The following is a 23188-nucleotide window of genomic DNA, read 5'->3' as shown; positions in this document are numbered from 1 at the left end:
CTTCCTAAGACTTTTTCTCTAAGATGGAAATCTGCTTAATAAAATCACCAGAAACAATTAAAATTTGTCCCCCATCAAGGACCCTTTCAATATTAATAAACACTGCTATTGATCAAACAAGTTACCAGAGTTAATAAAAATGCTACATTTCCTCAAGCCACTACAAATCAATGGATATGATGAAACACAAATGGAAAGGTTTTTAGGATACAGACAAGTTTCTATGTGCTAAGAACATAATTTAATCCAAGCAATTTCACATTATAAATGAGTTAATCCTCACTGAACTGGAAATGTGATTTAACCGCAAGACTCCATCCCTCAACCCTGAAATGTAATAAATTATTATATTATACATTAGAATGTTTCATTCAGAGAGTTTATGATCTTTTTTGTTCTATAATTTGTTTTCCATGTGAATCATACACACCAGCCACAAGTAGGATGGGTGGCTTGTCAGGATGGAGTTCCATTTGCCGGGCAATCCATGGTCCATCAAAATGGGCATACCACCAGCCTTTTTTCTTACTCTGAGGGTCTTTGTACTGGTCGGCAGGGCGGATGAATGGGATGCGGAAGAAGCGTTGCTGTCGGTTCATTTCAATCTCCCGCTGCCTGGCAGGAATCTGAGCTGCTGGGTTTTGCTGAGCTATTACACAGAACAAGGAAAGTTATACCAGCAGCTCAAGGGAAAAGAAAAGAGCCTTTAATCCTAAAATATACCCCAATAATTTTTTAAAAAGAAGAAAGGTCCCTAATAGTAAATTTAAAACAAAATGAAAATATTTATTGCCTACAAATTAATAAAATTCAGAGTGTTACTTCTTAGAATTGTCTTTCCCTTAAGATGTTTCTTAGCATTGCCAACACAAACACACACATACCACTACCACCACCACTACCAGCAACAAACCCCTGTCAGATTCCCACAAATCACTGTAACAGTAACCTAAAATAAACTCACACGGCAGGAAAACAAACTACTATTATTTACTAGATTTATATTCTTCCTGTAAAGAGTTCAAATTTGTACAGTAACTTTTATTCAACTATTTATGATAGAACAAAATAAACAGTAATTTCAAAAATCTGAAGGATGTAGACATTTGTCAGTTTAATCACTATTTCCACAAAAAGTAGAAGCCATATAAAAATTTTTTCTTTTGCCAACAAATTTTAGGATTTAAAATGACCACAATGACATAGATATTAACAACATTTAGACAACCATATGACAAAAAAAACCTTATAACAGTAAGCATAAACTTTCCCTTAAAGATATTTACTTACTCTGAAATCAGATTTCTCTTAGAATAAAATCCAATGAAGTGCAAAGTATGTAACATTTGATTCTCCTTGCCAAAAGAAAAGAAAAATCCTTGCTTTTCTACTAGTACTGGGCATTTCATTCATATCAATCTTTCATTCCTAGCTCAATTTTCATTACTTAACAATTAGGTTTTTCTTTTATCTGCAAATGTAAACATTTCCCTGGGGCAATGACTTTACATCTTTAGCAGCATAATTTTGGTTAGCCTGTTTAATCTGTTTTATACTCACAGAACTTCAAAAGTGGAACAACCATTTACAGCAGCTCAGTTAAGAGTCTCACTATGAAAATCCAAGTGTGTCAAAGAAATATTGTAAAATGTACATATGATATAAAGCCAAGAAGAGCCACATGGCTTCTGTAAGAATTTGCAAATACTGAAAGGATGAAAATACTCTTACTCTACTTTTTACACCAAGAAATAGCAAAAGCTTTATAGCAGTTGAATTTATTTCTTTGCAAACCAGAGAAAGCAAAAAGCAGTTAGCAAAGCTATATATCCCTATGAAGGAACGAGAGGCCCGGTTTTGTTAGTAACTTTAAAAGCTGCATCACATATTAACAGACATCTGCTTATCTATTCTTTTGCTCCTGTTTTCCCAGAGCTACTTACAGTTCAGTGTTTCTACTTTTAAGTTTTCAAAACTCCCTACATTGTTGAAAATGTACTAATTCAAAACTAAGAATTTAAAAACCTTCCCTCCATCTAAAGTAGTGAATTAGAATTTAATGTCCAGTTTACAGGAAATTTACCATGATACTGATAGTCATTCATTAATTAACCTACTTTTTAATTTGAAGTAAGTCTCCTGTAAGTTAAGATACTGGATAAAATTCAGAAACTAAATAGAAAGTCTTTGATAGCTTTTCTTACTAACAGGAGAACTGAAATTTTGTTGGGGAAGACTAGAAACGAATACTTATCTGGAAAAACACAAAGACACAGACATTAAAAGCTTGAAACTAATATTCTAAATAACTTTCCTTCACATTCAATTGTGTAATCTTCAAATACAGCCTTATAAATTATAAGAAGCACTTCAAAACATCAGGTCCAACCAGTTGGCAAATGAATGTGACATTATATCCAAATCATTACTAATCAACTAATTCTACAAGAGATTTACTGTGCACTAAGGTGACTCAAAGCTTTTAAATTATCAAAGAATGTGTATCATAAGAGGCTATAAACGTAACAGAATAATCTCCTCTTCCTATTTAAGGAGGTATCATTATTAAACCTTTATACACTATCACATTATCTATAAAACTAAAATACCTTTGGCAGAAATGCAGACACCATCAGTGTTTGAAAATACAGTAACCAAAAACCAGCACCTAAAAGTTAGTCTTTATTCTAAAAGGTCAGCTGCTATGTTAAGAGTTTTGCTACAATAAGAATTGTACATACTCTCAGTTTAAAATGCTAGTCATTTTCTTAATGCAAGTAATTTGATAAAACATTAATTTCACTAGATTTTTTGTAATACATATACATATTGGAGTGATCCAAATAAAGCATCATCTCAAATTAAAATATATCTTAGTATGGATATAACAACTTTAACACACTACAATTCCACTGAAAATTGTAGCAAAACAACTTTTAATAGAAGTTAGTACTTTGTAAAGTATTTTAACCCATCTTCCAGTTAGCTCATGAGTTACCACCCATTGACTTACGTGAATTGTTCAAAAATGGTGCAAAATCTGTGAACAAATATTTTATGTTGAAGAAAAGATAAAAATGCCAAAACTGTTAAATGAGCATTTTTCTAATTTATAAAGCCTTCCAATCGAGGTGGTGACTGAAAAGTAAATATCCTATCCACAAGCCAAATATTCTCAGAATTACCTAAAAGCAGGTGCTGCTTTCTGATTTTTTTAAAAGGCTATTTTGACTCATTAGGCTTAGGAAATTCTGATTGAAGCACATATAAAGAGGACCAAAATTAAAAAATCATACTTCATTTGTGATTTTTGGAACACATATCCAAACAAAAACCTAATACAATGACTTAATAGACATTATAGTACCTTTCATACATTACTAGAATTTTCATAGAAAATAATGAGAATTCATCAAAAAATTATATACATTACAGGAGTAAAAACGTTACTACGTTTTGGTAACAGTATGTTTTGCTTTTTTTAAACTCTCTAAATCTTAAACTCATGCCATTTTTATTTTATAAACTATAAAATAAAACTACTTTCCAAAATCATTGTTTTAAACAATTAATTACTATAAATATTTACTAGGTGATTTGCCACTGACCAAAAAATTATTTCTAAAAAATCTCCCTCTGCAGTAAATGAGATGAAAGTATGCTCATCCAGGACTGTACCAGGAAGAGGGTCTGAGGCTCCTTATGCATTATTTTAAGAGTTTACCATTAGCTGTCAACCTATTACTCTTTAAGTCAACAATACGAAGCTACATTTTTGTTAATCATAAGTTGTCATCATTTTATTTTCTCAAATTAATGAATTGTTCCTTCTAAATATTAGACTACACAGCACTTCCTTTTAAAGGGTGTTTAGCTGCCACATTAGGAAATCATTTAAGTATAGAATTTTCTCAATTGAGCTTCTTGGTGCTCTTTAACCTTTGCTTTTAGCTATGCTCCTGTGTCAAGATGAATTTTGTATGAGGAAGAACATAAAGAGAAAGAGAAAAGCAAAAAAAAGTACTTTTCAGAGCAGAAGTTACATTTGATAAAATATATCCTGAAAATGACTCATAATCAAGTTCTCTGAAGGCTTAATATGTATGTGTGGGGTTGTGTTCACATAAATTCCTAAATTTGTCCATAAACCTTGATAGAACCCTTAGGAAGCTTTCCTAATCTACTCTTTTGTTTTCTTAAATAATATATTACAAACAGAAACAGTAGTTGAACCAGCAAGGTGAGCCACGTATTATTTGCAACTTTTTTGGGTAAAGCTAGATGAATAAGGTATCAAAGTTTGAGTCACAAATACAATAAATATGTGTACATTAATTTAAAATGTGTGTGCCAAATATTACAACATGAACCTCTTTTTAAGAAGTGTGATCACTCAGATGTATTAATTTTGAAATACAATATAATGAAAGTCTGTCAAGCTAAAGTTAGTAATTATAATATTTACAGCTAAAAAGAACAGCTCACTGTCATTTTTTGCAAAACAAAGGTAATCTGTGGTCAGAACTCACTACACAGACAGTGAACAGCTAATGTAATCATTTTGTTGTGTTCAATTAGAAGAGGAAAAATATGAAACTGGAGAAGAGAGCAGTGTCACAATATTTAGTGGGGCTTCCACCTGCCACTTCTTGGTTACAAGTGATCTCCCACTGCCCTTGCATAGTCCTGTATTCTGACTGACACCCCTGGAGCAATAACTGGCACTAATATTACCCCTATTAATAATAATATTGCCCTCACTCAATCTATTCTTTGCAACAACTTAGAAACACTAGAATTCCACTATTAAATTGACTTTATTTAAACACTGCTTTTATTTACTTGGAAGGTAGTGAGGAAAGCAAAATATAACCAAGAACTCATTTTTTAAGTCAATTTGGGTCCTGCATTGCTAAACTATACTATCAACTGTTGGGAATATACCGCTTAGGGGAAAAAAACACACAAAATATTGAATCTGCTGTCACCTTGATGTTAACCAGAATTAAGCGAATAAATTGTGCCAATTTGAACACAGTAAGTCCAATTATTGCTTTAAAGATTGAAATTACAACTCGCATATCACACGTATTCTCAGTTAATGTTAAAGCTCATGCATGCTTGTACTAGGTTACATCTCTTCTACTCTACTTTCCAATTTCAAGTATACACCTTGGCCTTTTGCATAACAAAGTAACAAAATCCATGTTCAGGATCCCAATCAAAAAATCAAATCTTGATCTAGGCAAAACACTAGTCTGAAGCAAGGTAATATTTCTCACTTTTATATATTTGCAGTATTGTAAAATAATGTTTGCAGTAAAATTATTTTTGAAACAAAGGAATTAGAGTGTAAATGGACAATGCATGAATCAATTCCTTTCTTTTTCCAGGCTATAACCCTATTCTGGGAGCAACAGAAAAGTACTTATACCTACAAATAAAAAAGATAACAATATTGGGTATTTCAGGGAACTATTTCTAAAAACTGAGCTACATTAAATTTTAAAAATTAGAAAAAGGGGTGGGAGCAGTAGCTCATGCCTATAATCCTAGCACTTTGGAAGGCCAAGGCAGGAGGATTGCTTGAGCCCAGCAGTTTGAGACCAGCCTGGATAAAATGGCAAGACCTCATCTCTATTTATTTAAAAAATAAAAATTATAGAAAATTTAAAAATAAAAACTAACCATCATCCTTTTTAGCAACTCATTTTCATATGTAAAATTCATTTCACATGTAAGGTAAAAGATGCATGGCAATCCTGACATTTTCACATTTAATCTTGTGAGTGTGTGCACGTGTTTGTGTGTGTGAAAATTATGCATGCACACCCTCTTCAGACAAGAAAATTCTTGTCTCAATTATAGTAAATTCAATATATCTTAACAAGTATGAGTTTAAAGACATACTCATAAAAATAACGCTATAAAAGATAGGCCATCAAGGCTGTATTAGGTTCAATGGCTCACAGTTCTAAAATAGGAGAAAATTTATATGGGACATTTTACCCATGTCTTAAGTACAGATACATGCATTTATATACATATATTTTAAAACGTTCAAAAGTACAGATTTCTCTTTACCATAATCAGTAACAGACTTTGGAGCACGTTGCTCTGTTTCAGTATTTCTCTTCTTGTTCTTAGATTTCCAAGCATGATACACTTTTAGTCTCCTATGAAATTCTTCTCTGCAAGCTGCCAGGAGCTCAATATCTATTGATTACATTGAGCAAAAAAAAAAAATTGACATGTTAATTTATTCGTCTAACATAATGATATAATTATTCTGTCGCATAAGGAGATTTTTTTATTTTTAAATTAATGGTACAAAATCAAAAGTAAGCTAATTATTCATAAGGATAAGCATTTTATAATATTATTGTTCAAATTCACAGATCATTTCTTTACACAGTGTTACTATCTTATATCATCTGCTCCACAGAAGAACTCTGAACTAAACAGGTCTTTTATATGAAGGAATTGCATCAGAAACATTAAGCAATTTGTCGAAGGCAACAAGTCTTGACAATAGAATAAAAAGTCACTGTGATAAAATACAAACTAGATTTACAAGCAAGACATTTTTTATAATTATGCAGATATACTCAATGGAGGAAAGTGTAGTGAGAAATTATGTACAATTATGATACTTTTGTTTCTAGTCATAGTTTTCTGAATTCATCGTTCCTACTCATAGTTTTCTGAACTCAAACACTGTGATTTAAATAAGAACATAACTATGTGGGATCCTCTGGATATAGTATTTTACTCTAATTGTTCTGTGGGAAGAAAAATAGCCTTAAAAAGAAAGCACTGCATTGCCATTTGTTACTGTGCATTCATGGACCAAAAGATTCAGATAATATAGGTATTATATGTACATACACACATACACACACACACACACACACACATACACACACACACCTCACCCTAATCTAGGTATTTATCACCTATCACTATGAACATTTTCTATTTTTGATCTTCTCCAAACACTTACCACAAGAAGTATTGATGGTATCACGTAGTTCTGCATATTTCCATTTACTAAGATCATATTTCTTAGTACCAGCAGCTGCTTTGGTGGCTAGTACAGCAGGACCTCTGTAATTATTACACATTTTTGCATGTTTAAACCAGAAACATGAAGAAAACATTGACTAAAGAGGCAAGAAAGCATGCATAAGTTTGAAAACCGGAAACAGCTACTAGAAAAACATAATTTTTGTTTCTTTGACAGATGAGATTAAGAATGGCATACTAAAAGATGGCCAAATAAATTAAAAATTTCCAGCATGCCACTCGATAGTCACATTAGATTTTAAATCCAAACTTTTGATTCTAATATTCTAGTTCCACAAACTTCCCCCAGACTTCAGTTTCAATGTTTTTACTAATATATATACGAACACTTAAAGTTGAAAAATATACTGACATATATTCCTCAAAATCAAGAAAGAAATCCTCAACACACTTGAAAGATCATTAAAAGCATATTAAAGTTTTGTTTATGAGCAATGAGGCTGCACAGTGCGATCACCTGGAGAGACTGCGGAAATCTACAGATGGCCAAACTCCATTCACACACAGTGGCTCAGAATATCCCTGGGCCTCTGGATGTTTACAGAGTACATAGGTAAGTAGCCAAACCTGCAACCCACTGCATTAGAGTCATTCAAGTCAGCTAAAAGAACGGATGGAATCTGGAAACTCTTACTTTGTAGGCTTCACTGCTATAAGAACACTTAGAAAAGTTCTATAAGCACACAAAAAACACACCCTCATAAGTAATAAGAAAACTAGTAAATTCAAGAGGTTTTAGCTCATGAGGTAAATAACAGAGATTTCAAAGGGCACAAGTGCTGTATCATGACTCATTTAGTAGCACATATGGGGAAAGAGGAAAGAAATAAAATCCAAAGCAGTCAATAAAATGAAATAAATTCAACTTTTTCAAAACAGTGCTACGCAGTGCTTTAAGGCCTGCTTTTTTGGTTTTGCGTTTTGTTTGTTTTTTGTTTTTTGTTTTTTTTGAGAAGGGGTCTGGCTCTTTCACCCAGGCTGGAGTGCAGTGGTACAATCTTGGCTCACTGCAACCTCCACCACCCGGGCTCAAGCAATTCTCCCACCTCAGCCTCCTAAATAGCTGGGACTACAGGCACCCACCAACAAGCCAGGCTAATTTTTATAATTTTTGTAGAGATGGGGTCTTGCCATGTTGCCCAGGCTGGTCTCGAACTCCTGAGCTCAAGTGATCTGCCCACCTCAGCCTCCCAAAGTGCTGGGATTACAGGCGTGAGCCACCACACCTGGCCTTTAAGACTTTTATGCATATAATTTGAGATCATTAATCAGAAAATATGGGAACAATTTCTTTTCTGTAATAATAAACTTATTTTTCAGCAAAAGATTACACTTGCAAATAGCAGACACTCAGAATAAGCTGCAAGACTTTAAGCTCAAGGTAACGAGAAGCGTTTAAATACATCACATTTCAAGACATGAAAAGAAGGTGGCACAAAATATTAAACTAACTAACTATTAAAGAACAAAAATATTGCTTCTTAGGTGTGACACAAGGAAATTCTCCATTATCCACCTACTACCTAAAATATACTTCCTCTTAAAGAGGATTGATCAAGATATAATACCTGAAAATAAACATGTATTTTCTCAGTCTTTTACATTTTGAAAGATAACAGCCATCCTGGCAAGCAGTGAAGACACATACTTAATTGAAAAATGATGTCTGAGAATATGTCACTTTCTTCCTGAAGTAAAGGAAATTATTCTTTCAATACTAAGCTTAACAATGAAATAAATAAGGTGCCCTTGCTTCTTTAAAAGGTCTCTGTATGCTTTCATTCTAGAAAATAAAAAATAGCATACTTCATCCTACATACTTAAAATTCTTTGACATAGTGATTCTTAGTTACATATAAGACTAGCTAAAGAATAATGTGGAGGCACGAGCCAAGATGGCCGAATAGGAACAGCTCTGATGTACAGCTCCCAGCGTGAGCGACGCAGAAGACGGGTGATTTCTGCATTTCCATCTGAGGTACCAGGTTCATCTCACTAGGGAGTGCCAGACAGTGGGCGCAGGTCAGTGGGTGCGCGCACCGTGTGCCAGCCAAAGCAGGGCGAGGCATTGCCTCACTCCAGAAGAGCAAGGGGTCAGGGAGTTCCCTTTCCTAGTCAAAGAAAGGGGTGACAGACGGCACCTGGAAAATTGGGTCACTTCCACCCGAATACTGCGCTTTTCCGACGGGCTTAAAAAAATGGCGCACCAGGAGATTATATCCCGCACATGGCTCGGAGGGTCCTACGCCCACGGAGTCTCTTGCTAGCACAGCAGTCTGAGATCAAACTGCAAGGCGGCAGTGAGGCTGGGGGAGGGGCGCCCGCCATTGCCCAGGCTTGCTTAGATAAACAAAGCAGCCGGGAAGCTCCAACTGGGAAGCATCACAGCTCAAGAAGGCCTGCCTGCCTCTGTAGGCTCCACCTCTGGGGGCAGGGCATAGACAAACAAAAAGACAGCAGTAACCTCTGCAGACTTAAATGTCCCTGTCTGACAGCCTTGAAGAGAGCAGTGGTTCTCCCAGGACGCAGCTGGAGATCTGAGAACAGGCAGACTGTCTCCTCAAGTGGGCCCCTGACCCCTGACCCCTAAGCAGCCTAACTGGGAGGCACCCCCAGCAGGGGCAGACTGACACCTCACACGGCCGGGTACTCCAACAGACCTGCAGCTGAGGGTCCTGTCTGTAGAAGGAAAACTAACAAACAGAAAGGACATCCACACCAAAAACCCATCTGCACATCACCATCATCAAAGACCAAAAGTAGACAAAACCACAAAGATGGGGAAGAAACAGAGCAGAAAAACTGGAAACTCTAAAAAGCAGAGCGCCTCTCCTCCTCCAAAGGAACACAGTTCCTCACCAGCCACGGAACAAAGCTGGACGGAGAATGACTTTGACGAGCTGAGAGAAGAAGGCTTCAGACGACCAAATTACTCCGAGCTACGGGAGGACATTCAAACCAAAGGCAAAGAAGTTGAAAACTTTGAAAAAAATTTAGAAGAACGTATAACTAGAATAACCAATACAGAGAAGTGCTTAAAGGAGCTGATAGAGCTGAAAATCAAGGCTCAAGAACTACGTGAAGAATGCAGAAGCCTCAGGAGCCGATGCGATCAACTGGAAGAAAGGGTATCAGCGATGGAAGATGAAATGAATGAAATGAAGCAAGAAGGGAAGTTTAGAGAAAAAAGAATAAAAAGAAACGAACAAAGACTCCAAGAAATATGGGACTATGTGAAAAGACCAAATCTATGTCTGACTGGTGTACCTGAAAGTGACGGGGAGAATGGAACCAAGTTGGAAAACACTCTGCAGGATATTATCCAGGAGAACTTACCCAATCTAGCAAGGCAGGCCAACATTCAGATTCAGGAAATACAGAGAACGCCACAAAGATACTCCTCGAGAAGAGCAACTCCAAGACACATAATTGTCAGATTCACCAAAGTTGAAATGAAGGAAAAAATGTTAAGGGCAGCCAGAGAGAAAGGTCGGGTTACCCTCAAAGGGAAGCCCATCAGACTAACAGTGGATCTCTTGGCAGAAACTCTACAAGCCAGAAGAGAGTTGGGGCCAATATTCAACATTCTTAAAGAAAAGAATTTTCAATCCAGAATTTCATATCCAGCCAAACTAAGCTTCATAAGTGAAGGAGAAATAAAATACTTCACAGACAAGCAAATGCTGAGAGATTTTGTCACCACCAGGCCTGCCCTAAAAGAGCTCCTGAAGGAAGCGCTAAACATGGAAAGGAACAACCGGTACCAGCCGCTGCAAAATCATGCCAAAATGTAAAGACCATCGAGACTAGGAAGAAACTGCATCAACTAACTAGCAAAATCACCAGCTAACATCATAATGACAGGATCAAATTCACAGATAACAATATTAACTTTAAATGTAAATGGAATAAATGCTCCAATTAAAAGACACAGACTGGCAAACTGGATAAAGAGTCAAGACCCATCAGTGTGCTGTATTCAGGAAACCCATCTCACGTGCAGAGACACACATAGGCTCAAAATAAAAGGATGGAGGAAGATCTATGAAGCAAATGGAAAACAAAAAAAAGGCAGGGGTTGCAATCCTAGTCTCTGATAAAACAGACTTTAAACCAACAAAGATCAAAAGAGACAAAGAAGGCCATTACATAATGGTAAAGGGATCAATTCAAAAAGAAGAGCTAACTATCCTAAATATATATGCACCCAATACAGGAGCACCCAGATTCATAAAGCAAGTCCTGAGTGACCTACAAAGAGACTTAGACTCCCACACATTAATAATGGGAGACTTTAACACCCCACTGTCCACATTAGACAGATCAACGAGACGGAAAGTCAACAAGGATACCCAGGAATTGAACTCAGCTCTGCACCAAGCGGACCTAATAGACATCTACAGAACTCTCCACCCCAAATCAACAGAATATACATTTTTTTCAGCACCACACCACACCTATTCCAAAATTGACCACATACTTGGAAGTAAGGCTCTCCTCAGCAAATGTAAAGGAAGAGAAATTATAACAAACTATCTCTCAGACCACAGTGCAATGAAACTAGAATTCAGGATTAAGAATCTCACTCAAAACCGCTCAACTACATGGAAACTGAACAACCTGCTCCTGAATGACTACTGGGTACATAACAAAATGAAGGCAGAAATAAAGATGTTCTTTGAAACCAACGAGAACAAAGACACAACATACCAGAATCTCTGGGACGCATTCAACGCAGTGTGTAGAGGGAAATTTATAGCACTAAATGCCCACAAGAGAAAGCAGGAAAGATCCAAAATTGACACCCTAACATCACAATTAAAAGAACTAGAAAAGCAAGAGCAAACACATTCAAAAGCTAGCAGAAGGCAAGAAATAACTAAAATCAGAGCAGAACTGAAGGAAATAGAGACACAAAAAACCCTTCAAAAAATTAATGAATCCAGGAGGTGGTTTTTTGAAAGGATCAACAAAATTGATAGACCGCTAGCAAGACTAATAAAGAAAAAAAGAGAGAAGAATCAAATAGACGCAATCAAAAATGATAAAGGGGATGTCACCACCGATCCCACAGAAATACAAACTACCATCAGAGAATACTACAAACAACTCTACGCAAATAAACTAGAAAATCTAGAAGAAATGGATAAATTCCTCAACACATACACTCTCCCAACACTAAACCAGGAAGAAGTTGAATCTCTGAATAGACCAATAACAGGATCTGAAATTGTGGCAATAATCAATAGCTTACCAACCAAAAAGAGTTCAGGACCAGATGGATTCACAGCCGAATTCTACCAGAGGTACAAGGAGGAACTGGTACCATTCCTTCTGAAACTATTCCAATCAATAGAAAAAGAGGGAATCCTCCCTAACTCATTTTATGAGACCAGCATTATCCTGATACCAAAGCCTAGCAGAGACACAACCAAAAAAGAGAATTTTAGACCAATATCCTTGAAGAACATTGATGCAAAAATCCTCAATAAAATACTGGCAAACCAAATCCAGCAGCACATCAAAAAGCTTATCCACCATGATCAAGTGGGCTTCATCCCTGGGATGCAAGGCTGGTCCAATATACACAAATCAATAAATGTAAGCCAGCATATAAACAGAACCAAAGACAAAAACCACATGATTATCTCAATAGATGCAGAAAAGGCTTTTGACAAAATTCAACAACCCTTCATGCTAAAAACTCTCAATAAATTAGGTATTGATGGGACGTATTTGAAAATAATAAGAGCTATCTATGACAAACCCACAGCCAATACCATACTGAATGGGCAAAAACTGGAAGCATTCCCTGTGAAAACCGGCACAAGACAGGGATGCCCTCTCTCACCACTCCTATTCAACATAGTGTTGGAAGTTCTGGCCAGGGCAATTAGGCAGAAGAAGGAAATAAAGGGTATTCAATTAGGAAAAGAGGAAGTCAAATTGTCCCTGTTTGCAGACGACATGATTGTATATCTAGAAAACCCCATTGTCTCAGCCCAAAATCTCCTTAAGCTGCTAAGCAACTTCAGCAAAGTCTCAGGATACAAAATCAATGTACAAAAATCACAAGCATTCTTATACACCAATAACAGACAAACAGAGAGCCAAATCACGAGTGAACTCCCATTCACAATTGCTTCAAAGAGAATAAAATACCTAGGAATCCAACTTACAAGGGATGTGAAGGACCTCTTCAAGGAGAACTACAAATCACTGCTCAAGGAAATAAAAGAGGATACAAACAAATGGAAGATCCATGGGTAGGAAGAATCAATATCGTGAAAATGGCCATATTGCCCAAGGTAATTTACAGATTCAATGCCATCCCCATCAAGCTACCAATGCCTTTCTTCACAGAATTGGAAAAAACTACTTTAAAGTTCATATGGAACCATAAAAGAGCCCGCATCGCCAAGTCAATCCTAAGCCAAAAGAACAAAGCTGGAGGCATCACACTACCTGACTTCAAACTATACTACAAGGCTACAGTAACCATAACAGCATGCTACTGGTACCAAAATAGAGATATAGATCAATGCAACAGAACAGAGCCCTCAGAAATAACGCCATATATCTACAACTATCTGATCTTTGACAAACCTGAGAAAAACAAGCAATGGGGAAAGGATTCCCTATTTAATAAATGGTGCTGGGAAAACTGGCTAGTCATATGTAGAAAGCTGAAACTGGATCCCTTCCTTACACCTTATACAAAAATCAATTCAAGATGGATTAAAGACTTAAACGTTAGACCTAAAACCATAAAAACCCTAGAAGAAAACCTAGGCATTACCATTCAGGACATAGGCATGGGCAAGGACTTCATGTCTAAAACACCAAAAGCAATGGCAACAAAAGCCAAAATTGACAAATGGGATCTAATTAAACTAAAGAGCTTCTGCACAGCAAAAGAAACTACCATCCTAGTGAACAGGCAACCCACAAAATGGGAGAAAATTTTCGCAACCTACTCATCTGACAAAGGGCTAATATCCAGAATCTACAATGAACTCAAACAAATTTACAAGAAAACAAACAACCCCATCAAAAAGTGGGCAAAGGACATGAACAGACACTTCTCAAAAGAAGACATTTATGCAGCCAAAAAAAACATGAAAAAATGCTCACCATCACTGGCCATCAGAGAAATGCAAATCAAAACCACAATGACATACCATCTCACATCAGTTAGAATGGCAATCATTAAAAAGTCAGGAAATAACAGGTGCTGGAGACGATGTGGAGAAATAGGAACACTTTTACACTGTTGGTGGGACTGTAAACTAGTTCAACCATTGTGGAAGTCAGTGTGGCAATTCCTCAGGGATCTAGAACTAGAAATACCATTTGACCCAGCCATCCCATTTCTGGGTATATACTCAAAGGACTGTAAATCATGCTGCTATAAAGACACATGCACACGTATGTTTATTGTGGCATTATTCACAATAGCAAAGACTTGGAACCAACCCAAATGTCCAACAATGATAGATTGGATTAAGAAAATGTGGCACATATACACCATGGAATACTATGCAGCCATAAAAAATGATGAGTTCATGTCCTTTGCAGGGACATGGATGACATTGGAAATCATCATTCTCAGTAAACTATCGCAAGAACAAAAAACCAAACACCACATATTCTCACTCATAGGTGGGAACTGAACAATGAGAACACATGGACACAGGAAGGGGAACATCACACTCTGGGGACTGTTGTAGGGTGGGGGGAGGGGGGAGGGATAGCATTGGGAGATATACCTAATGCTAGATGACGAGTTAGTGGGTGCAGCGCACCAGCATGGCACATGTATACATATGTAACTAACCTGCACATTGTGCACATGTACCCTAAAACTTAAAGTATAATAATAATTTTTTTAAAAAAATGTTCCAGAAGAAAAAAAAAAAAAAAGAATAATGTGTGGCCATTAGTCCTTCCCGTATTTTTATGATTAAAATCTGTTTTAGCTTTGTTGCAGAATCTATACTTTTCATAAGCGGTCTAAGTGGCAATTTTCCATGTAGCTTTTTGGTCTTAATTGCTTTGCTCAAAAATGGCCAGCTGTGTATCAGCAAGGTCTCTCATTTCCTTAACAATAAATTATGCTTTTATATTTATTCAAATATTATTTGTCTTTTCTACATCCCTAAACTACCAATCAATAAACAAAAAAAATCCTTTTATTTTTAAGCTGTTCTGGGAGTCTTTTCTAGGAGGGCAGCTGAAAATTATTAAGTTTTGTTTTTGTTGTTATCTTTTCTTTTGAAAGAAGAGGTAAATTGACATAATATACAGTTTTATAATTGTCAGAATGTATATAAGGTATTAGAATATATGTAAAATGTGTTTTGATACTTTTAAAAATTACATTAAATTCAAATGATTATTGCTTAAAATATGGTTTTAATATCCCTAACTTTTCATTCCTATTACCTCAAACAAAAGTACATCTACTAAAAAACATAGCATCCAAAGAAGTACATCAATGCAACACATTTAAATGTTTCCCCACCCCCATCTCTGGAGTTACTAAAATAGTAAAGGGGTAATTTGCTGATTATTCAGACTTGCTATAAAGACAATCATGTAAAGAATACAATAGTAGCAAACTGATTTTTAAGTGTTAATATATTAACACTTTTAATTATCTTTGTAACTTCAAAATTAAGAATTAACATGTTAGTGAATCATATCCATTTATAAAAGTAATGGACCAGATCCTGCTGGTGGCTCAATTTACACCAGTGGTTTTCAAACCATGTGCCACAGTGCAGAGCCCCTCAAGAGTCATGTTCTTCCTCTACCTCCTCTTCAACGACGCACAGTGGTGCCCAAATTAGGGGCAGCACCACCCCAGGGAGAGTTGCAAAATACTCATTTTGTCATGATGAGGGGAAGAAGTCCCCTACTGAGACTGAGTTGGTGGAGGCCAGAGATAAGCAGTAGAGTTCCACTGCCAAGGGAACTGTCCCATTCAAAATGCCAATGGTATCCCCATGACTTTGAAGGAATACTGGTTTTTAACTTTTTCTTTGTTGGGTGGGGTGAGGGAGAAGTGATATTTCTTGTACAGAAAGAAATATCACTTTACATAGAAAGACTAGGCTACTCATGTAACAGGTTCTGGTCCAAATAATCAAAAGTAATTTAAAAATATGATTTTGAGGTGAACACTTATTTCCCCCAATTACACTGCACTAACCTACTCAAAAATTCTGACATTTCTTTGGCCATTTGTTCCCTACAAGAAAAACGATAATACAATATGGTTACATAAAAGTCATACTACATAAATTAATTAAAAGATCTAAAAGTATAATTAAAATATATATTTTCAATATTATTTAACAACTGTTCATAACTGTTTTACTTTGTTAATGCCTAGAATATACTATTCAACAAATCTAGCCGTAACACACAGAAAAATTTTTGTTTAAATCCAGTTCAAGTTATTTGAATGTCTCTCCATTTTTGCAGTAGCAACTTTTAGATAAAATCTCAGGAAAGCTTTTATGGTATTCTTTTCCATATAGAATACAAATAACATGGTCTAAATCCATACAGGAAACTTGGCAAGATATAGATTCCATATGAGGATTTTTGCACCAGAGTTGCTTAGTAAATATTACTTAGATAAGGCACAATGGTGAAAACCACAAGCTGATGTATTTGACAGCGTCAGAGTTTTAAAAAGAATCTGATGTATTCAAAGCTCTAAAAATTCCAAATCAAAGCATGCTTTTAAGAAAAAGAATATCAAAATGGACTAATGAAAGATCTGAGGCATTCTGATTTTCCAGGGATAAACATTTGCCAAAGGCAAAAAACTTATTTTGCTTTTGTTACCCAGAAGAGTGTAACTTTTATCAAATTTTGTTTAATTCTTTAAAACAGAATGAAGTTTCATAGTGTTCATCAACACTTCTTTAACTTATTTCCCTATTTGCTCTTTTCCTTCGTAATTATTTTCTCATTCATTCTACTCATCAAACTCTAGTAACCTCAAACCCTTCCAAATCAGTAAAATCATAAGAAAAGAAGATGGGTGTATTTGCTTCCAGGTGCAATTTCCTGAATGCCTGCCAAGAGCTGGGACCCTGACTAAAGGAGTAGAACACTCCTGTATTCCTCTTTTCTCGTAATGAACACTGTCTACAATTATGTATGGATGGAGGTCTATGAAAGCACAGTCAGAGAACAAGATATCTTTCAAAGCTGACAGTGAAGGACAGCAAAAACAAAATATAACACAAATACAATCTAATAAAAATTATCTTTTGAGCAATACATTTATCAATCTCTCTTCAAGCTAGTAGTTTCTCAGAATCGTCTCACTTTTAAATGCAGCAGATTTTGATAAGTATGTTTAATTCTATTATCACTCCACCTCAAGGTTTTTGTCTCAGGATTCAAGAGCATCTGTTTTTACCATCTTTTTCTCCTAAAGCTTCCTCCATTTCTTTTCCCATGGTAGGTTTTAAGGGAGTCTATGGACTTTCAAATCTCATTACCACTGGGTCTGTTGATCACACAGGTGTTTTTCTGCATGCTCTGACACTACAATGGATGGCAATCTCTACTGATGCATTATCCTCCCTGACCCTGCATCAAGATACACCTGACCTAGACCAATACACTGCAACAAATTTGCCAGACAGAAATGGTTCCTGCACCCAGGTGCTTTCTTCCTTCTGATTTTACCAAACTATATGCAAATATAATTTCACCTTAGACACTGATTGCGGGCTTATTTAATTCAAGCTCAAATGGTAACTATAAAGCAGTTGTGGCAATGGAGGGCAAGAGTGCCCACTCAGAGATATTTTCAAAATTTGGGGCAGTATTGTGGTAACAACAATGTGTGAGTATACTCCTGGCATCTGCTGAGGTAAGGGGAAAGGAATGCCAAATGTCCTACCCAAGGAAGAACTACTCCATGCCCCATTTAACTTTAACATGTCTGTGAGACATACAGAGGTGAAAAACACATACAAACACATATTTTACATGTAAACAAAGTTATACATGTAAACATCGTATTTTTTGCATGCCTTTAATATTCACAGAATTTGTCTAGGGCTTACGCAAATACTGTGTAATTGAGAGAATATTGTACTTGGCTCTGTTCAGAACTTCACAAAGGATTGTTCACAATTTCATGGCATGTGAATGCCCAACACAACATTCCTATATCAATTTGTATTTGTAGATACAGCATTCGTGGTGATTCTATACGTAAGCAAAAACATCTGATCGCTTATCATGTCTTCTACTACAGTTATGCAGAAGCACTTTCATATTAAATAAACATTTTATTATAAATGACTATCCTTGTATTTCTCCTTTACATATATTGTTTGGAGAGTTGTTTACATAGGTTGCATCATTTATTAAAAAATTGTTATTGGGACTGGAGCCTGATAGAGTTGAGAATCCTCATCATAAATGTTAAGTTGGAGTCCTTAAAGCTGTTAAAATAAAGATTTTATATATATTCCAAAATCCTTATATGTAGTATACATAACATACATACAAAATATGTTTTATATTTTATATAAACAAAATGTATATTCCAAATGTTACCTGGATTCTTTGTGGGTAGATTTTCATATGAAAAAGATACATTAGCACCAAAGTTAGCACTACATATACAATTTCAGATGATGAATTATTTTAGATATAGCAGAATGAACTACCATATATACTGAAAATCAAATATTTTATTATTATTTATGCCTCCACACCTGCTTCTATAAAGAAGTAAGGTAAGGGGCAGTTTAAAAAAAATACATAAAACAGGCCGGGCACAGTGACTCACGCCTGTAATCCCAGCACTTTGGGAGGCCGAGGCGGGTGGATCACGAGGTCAAGAGATTGAGACCATCCTGGCCAACATGGTGAAACCCCGTCTCTACTAAAAATACAAAAATTAGCTGAGTGTGGTGGTGCGTGCCTGTAGTCCCAGCTACTTGGGAGGCTGAGGCAGGAGAGTCGCTTGAACCCGAGAGGCAGAGGTTATGGTGACCCCAGATGACACCACTGAACTCTGGCCTGGGCAACAAAAGCGAAACTCTGTCTCAAAAAAAAAAAAAAAATTCATATATATACATAAAACAAAATAGGTGTTACATTATAGTTTAAACAGACAATACAAAGAAGGAAACCAAATCATGAGCTACTGTGATTGAGCACCATACAAGAGCATTAAACTTTCCTAGACAAGAAAAATATGAAAAAGGTTATCTCATTACCTTTCAATAGAAGAAAATAATTTAAAATTTACTCCAATGAGAAAACTACTCCCAAAAAGTATCTACAACCTATTTTTAAAAAGGTAAAGGTAAGTGACATACGGTGTCATTTTGGGTCTTGTTCCATCATTTCTGTGAAAAGAATATATTTTAGTTAATATCGTAACCAATTGTGAACTGTGAAAATCTGGATTGTGCAAATTTGTGTTTCAATTACTTTACTCATTGATTTTAAAAACTCAATTATTTGTAATCAACATGAGATCACTCAGAATTTTAATATATTTTTAAGTATTCATTAAAAATGATTGGAAAATAAGGCATGCAGTGAAAATTAAAGAGCAAATACATTACATCTAGATTAGAAAATTCATATATTGTGAGGTTTGTTTTTAATAGAATCTGGATATTATTTTACAATTTTAGGTAATTTGAAACCATCTCTTTGCATCAAGAATCATATGTGTAATTGATTGAAATTATATTTCAGAACATATGACATACATAGAAAACAATTCTTACTTAGAAGTTACCGGATAGGAATCCAAGCTGGAAAAGTAACTTAAAATTGCTTATTGAAGCAGAATCTATCTATAATATATACATTTTTTAACACAGCATAGAACCCAACAACATCATGCTATAGATTAAGAACAGTTTACTTAGTTCTTACTCATAAATTTGTTAGAGAAAAAACTCAGTGCTAACAAAGGTAAAATAAACATTCAAAAACATTTAGCTATAGCCCATGGAGTAAGATTAAACTATCAAACATGTGATATCTGTATAGAACATCATTCATAATGAAGTGCTAATGCTTGTAGTTCACAGTATAAAATAACCACGACGACCAGAAGGGAAGGAGCTCATGAGGACCTGAGGGTCAGGGAAAGCTTCCTGGAGAGCTGACAGAAAGGATTTGAAGGGCATTCTTCATACCACCCCTAGGCCTGAACCACATAACTAAAACTAGCTCTTCTGCCTTTCAGGTCATAAGGGTTTGAATATCTCCTCATTACTTAATATGGTCCCATTACCTAGCTAATTCTGCTTAATTTAAATTACAGGTAACTTGTTTATGTTAAAGGTCCTAAACGATCCACTCTTCTCAACCTGGAAGACATGTACCTTTCTGAAGATGGGAAGGGGTCCACATATGAGACAGTATCTTGTATACAGTATATGGAATGGCACTGGATACAGCTTAACATTTCAAGTGCATAAATATAAAGCTTGATGATGAGTACCAACAATGACTCCATTAACAAGTCCCTTAGAAATTGACTTCTGCCATAATAAAATCAACTCTGTCAACTGCAGTACTTCCTCACAGACATCAGGGATAGCAGCTGTAAGAGTTTGGTTCGTTTAAGAGCCTGCCCTAGGCGGCTAGTCAGTTACACATAAAGACTCCCAATCATTCTGATGCAACACAGGTGGAAGGAACAGAACAGCAGCTGAGCTGAGTCTGCATTTATAAAAGCCCTATCTGGGCCAAAATATTTTAATTACAGTGAAATCTTAATAAAGAGCCCAAATATTGGACTCAAACCCAAGAGCTTAATAATTATAACATCTTTTGTTCATATAGCCATATTCAGTTCATTTACAATATAATGTACTTTCATATACAAGCAGTCCCAGAGCTCCCCAATACAATCACATACTATTTGGTGGGTGCAAAAGTTATTGCAGTTTTCCCAATGGCAAAAACCGCAATTATTTTCGCACCAACCTAATAGAAAAAGCATGAAGGCAACTCAATATGCCCTTTTCCTTCCCCGTCTTTTGTTTTTTTGCCAAATATTCCATTACATTGCAGTTTGATCCTTTCACAAGGAAACATCGCCATCTAGTGGTTGTACTCTATATTTTGTCATAAACTGCTTTTAAGCTCGGAAAAGCATGGTTACATGTGTCTATGTGCCTCTCAGTATATATACAACATATATATACCTACATACAAAGGAACCTTACAAATTAGTTTTGTTATTATAAATAATCAAAATAATTAATGCCTCTACATACTAAATTTTTTTAAACTGAATCTATTAAACCTTTCTGCAACTTTTAATAAGAGCTTCCACATTCCTATACACTCCACTATAGTGGAGTGCTTAGAGATAATTCAGAAACCCAAGAAGCCAAAATATTTCAATGAATTTAACCCTCCCTTCTTGTAAAGGGAAACTCATTTATTCTGAGGCATTGCAGAGTAGAGTTCTCATTTCAACTGACAGGATATTTAATACATTAAATTTTTTTGCATTAGAAAAATCTCAACTACAAATACATTACACTGCATTATATAACACAGTCACTTATTTCAATGCCAGTGTTTGATGACAGGTATTTAGAAATTAGGTGTCTACCTAATATACTATACTCTTAAACAATTTCAGGGTAAAGGTTGATATATTTTCTTAATAGAGTACTCATTAGTGAAATTTTAGTCTTATTTGTCAACAATTTAATAATATGATGAAAAATCAATTATCTCATTCACTTGAGTATGAAAGTCGATACAAATAATTTTAAAATTATTTTAGCTCAAATATATCAGGGCCTTCAGAATATTATTTTCTCCTATTCCCTTCTGCATGGAAATGAGAGGCAGAGAGGTAGAGAAAGCAAAGGAGAGAGCGCTATACCCCACCCAGGGGCCCCAGTACCTCCGCAGCGCCAGGTCGGCCTGGGCCTCATCACTGATGAGCTCGGCTTCACTCTGGGCAATCCTCAGGGCCAGCTCCCGGTCCCTGCGCTCCTGCTCCAGAACTGCTTGCTGTTGGGATTCCTCCTCCTTCTGTCGGGCCAGCTGTGCCTCCACTTCAGCCTGACAAGGGCAGAAAGCTATTTCACCAAGAGTTCTTCACTTGTTTACTTGATCACTCCCCTTATTACTTAAAATAAAGGGAAAGCATAACTGCCCCCATACAAGTTCTTTACTAAAGAATTGCTTAAGCACAGATCTCTTCAGTCTCTACTTTCTTCTCTATTATGATTAATGCTTCAAACACATCCCCATTTTGCCTCTTTCCCAAGACCAAGAGAAGGTAGAAGAACCACAGCTCCATAACTCTATGACTACAAATATTAGTGTCCCAAACATCACATGAGTATCTTAGGCATCCCATTAACACTAACACCTAGAGAGCAGATGTCAGGAATTTAAAGTTTTGGTTATGCTTAGGATATATTATGAAAGCCATGACAAACAGAAATTCAAATACATGAGCAATTTATTCTCAACATGGGACTTTTTAAAAACTAGGGGTGGAGAGAGACTCTTAATCCTAATTTATTAATTCCAGTATCTACAAAGTTATATGATATTTTAAAACTTAACATTTTAAGTGAATTTTCATTTGACTTTCCCCTAGGTATAAAAACAATTATTAATATTTATTGATCTACACAGTGTTCACAATGCTTTAACATGTATTAACTGTCAAATGCTTGCAACTATTATTTATCCACATTCTACAGAGAGACAACTGTGACCCATAGTTCCTCACTATAATGTGTACAATGTCACAATTTCTGTCAGTGACTGATCTTGGATTTGAACCCACTTCCCTAGCTCCAAAGTCCATTCCCATAACCACTTCAAAAACTGGCCTTTGGTCTCTAGGATAAACTAGTGACAGCTTATCTAGCAAATCAAGATCTCATTTTCACTTCTTTCATAGGTTCCATTTTATTTTATTTATTTTTTATTTTTTATTTTTTTTGAGATGGAGTCTCGCTCTGTTGCCCAGGCTGGAGTGCAGTGGTGTCATCTTGGCTCACTGCAAGCTCTGCCTCCTGGGTTCACATCATTCTCCTGCCTCAACCTCCCA

General features: G+C 35.9%; 1 protein-coding gene across 14 annotated transcripts in view; it reads right to left on the bottom strand.

Annotated features, from left to right (window-relative positions):
• Window positions 1-23188, bottom strand: part of MYO6 (myosin VI) — a 170299-nt gene that overhangs the window by 4826 nt on the left and 142285 nt on the right. For 3 of the 14 annotated variants that reach the window (NR_160538.1, NM_001368136.1, XM_047418836.1), the window contains 4 exons: window positions 22022-22182; window positions 7004-7107; window positions 6085-6216; window positions 431-649 (listed from right to left, as the gene is read on the bottom strand). Coding sequence is in view for 13 of the 14 variants with exons in the window: in NM_001368136.1 (NP_001355065.1) it covers window positions 431-649; window positions 6085-6216; window positions 7004-7107; window positions 22022-22182 (616 nt within the window). In the remaining variant the exon portion in view is untranslated. Of the gene's footprint in view, window positions 1-430; window positions 650-3013; window positions 3041-6084; window positions 6217-7003; window positions 7108-16300; window positions 16340-19451; window positions 19482-19871; window positions 19899-22021; window positions 22183-23188 lie in introns of all 14 variants that reach the window. The other 11 variants (NM_001368865.1, XM_024446447.2, NM_001300899.2 and 8 more) reach the window with 9 other exon arrangements.

This window comes from Homo sapiens, chromosome 6, assembly GCF_000001405.40.
Source record: "Homo sapiens chromosome 6, GRCh38.p14 Primary Assembly".
Classification (NCBI taxonomy): Eukaryota; Metazoa; Chordata; class Mammalia; order Primates; family Hominidae; genus Homo; species Homo sapiens.
This window is presented reverse-complemented; position numbering and strand designations above follow the sequence as displayed.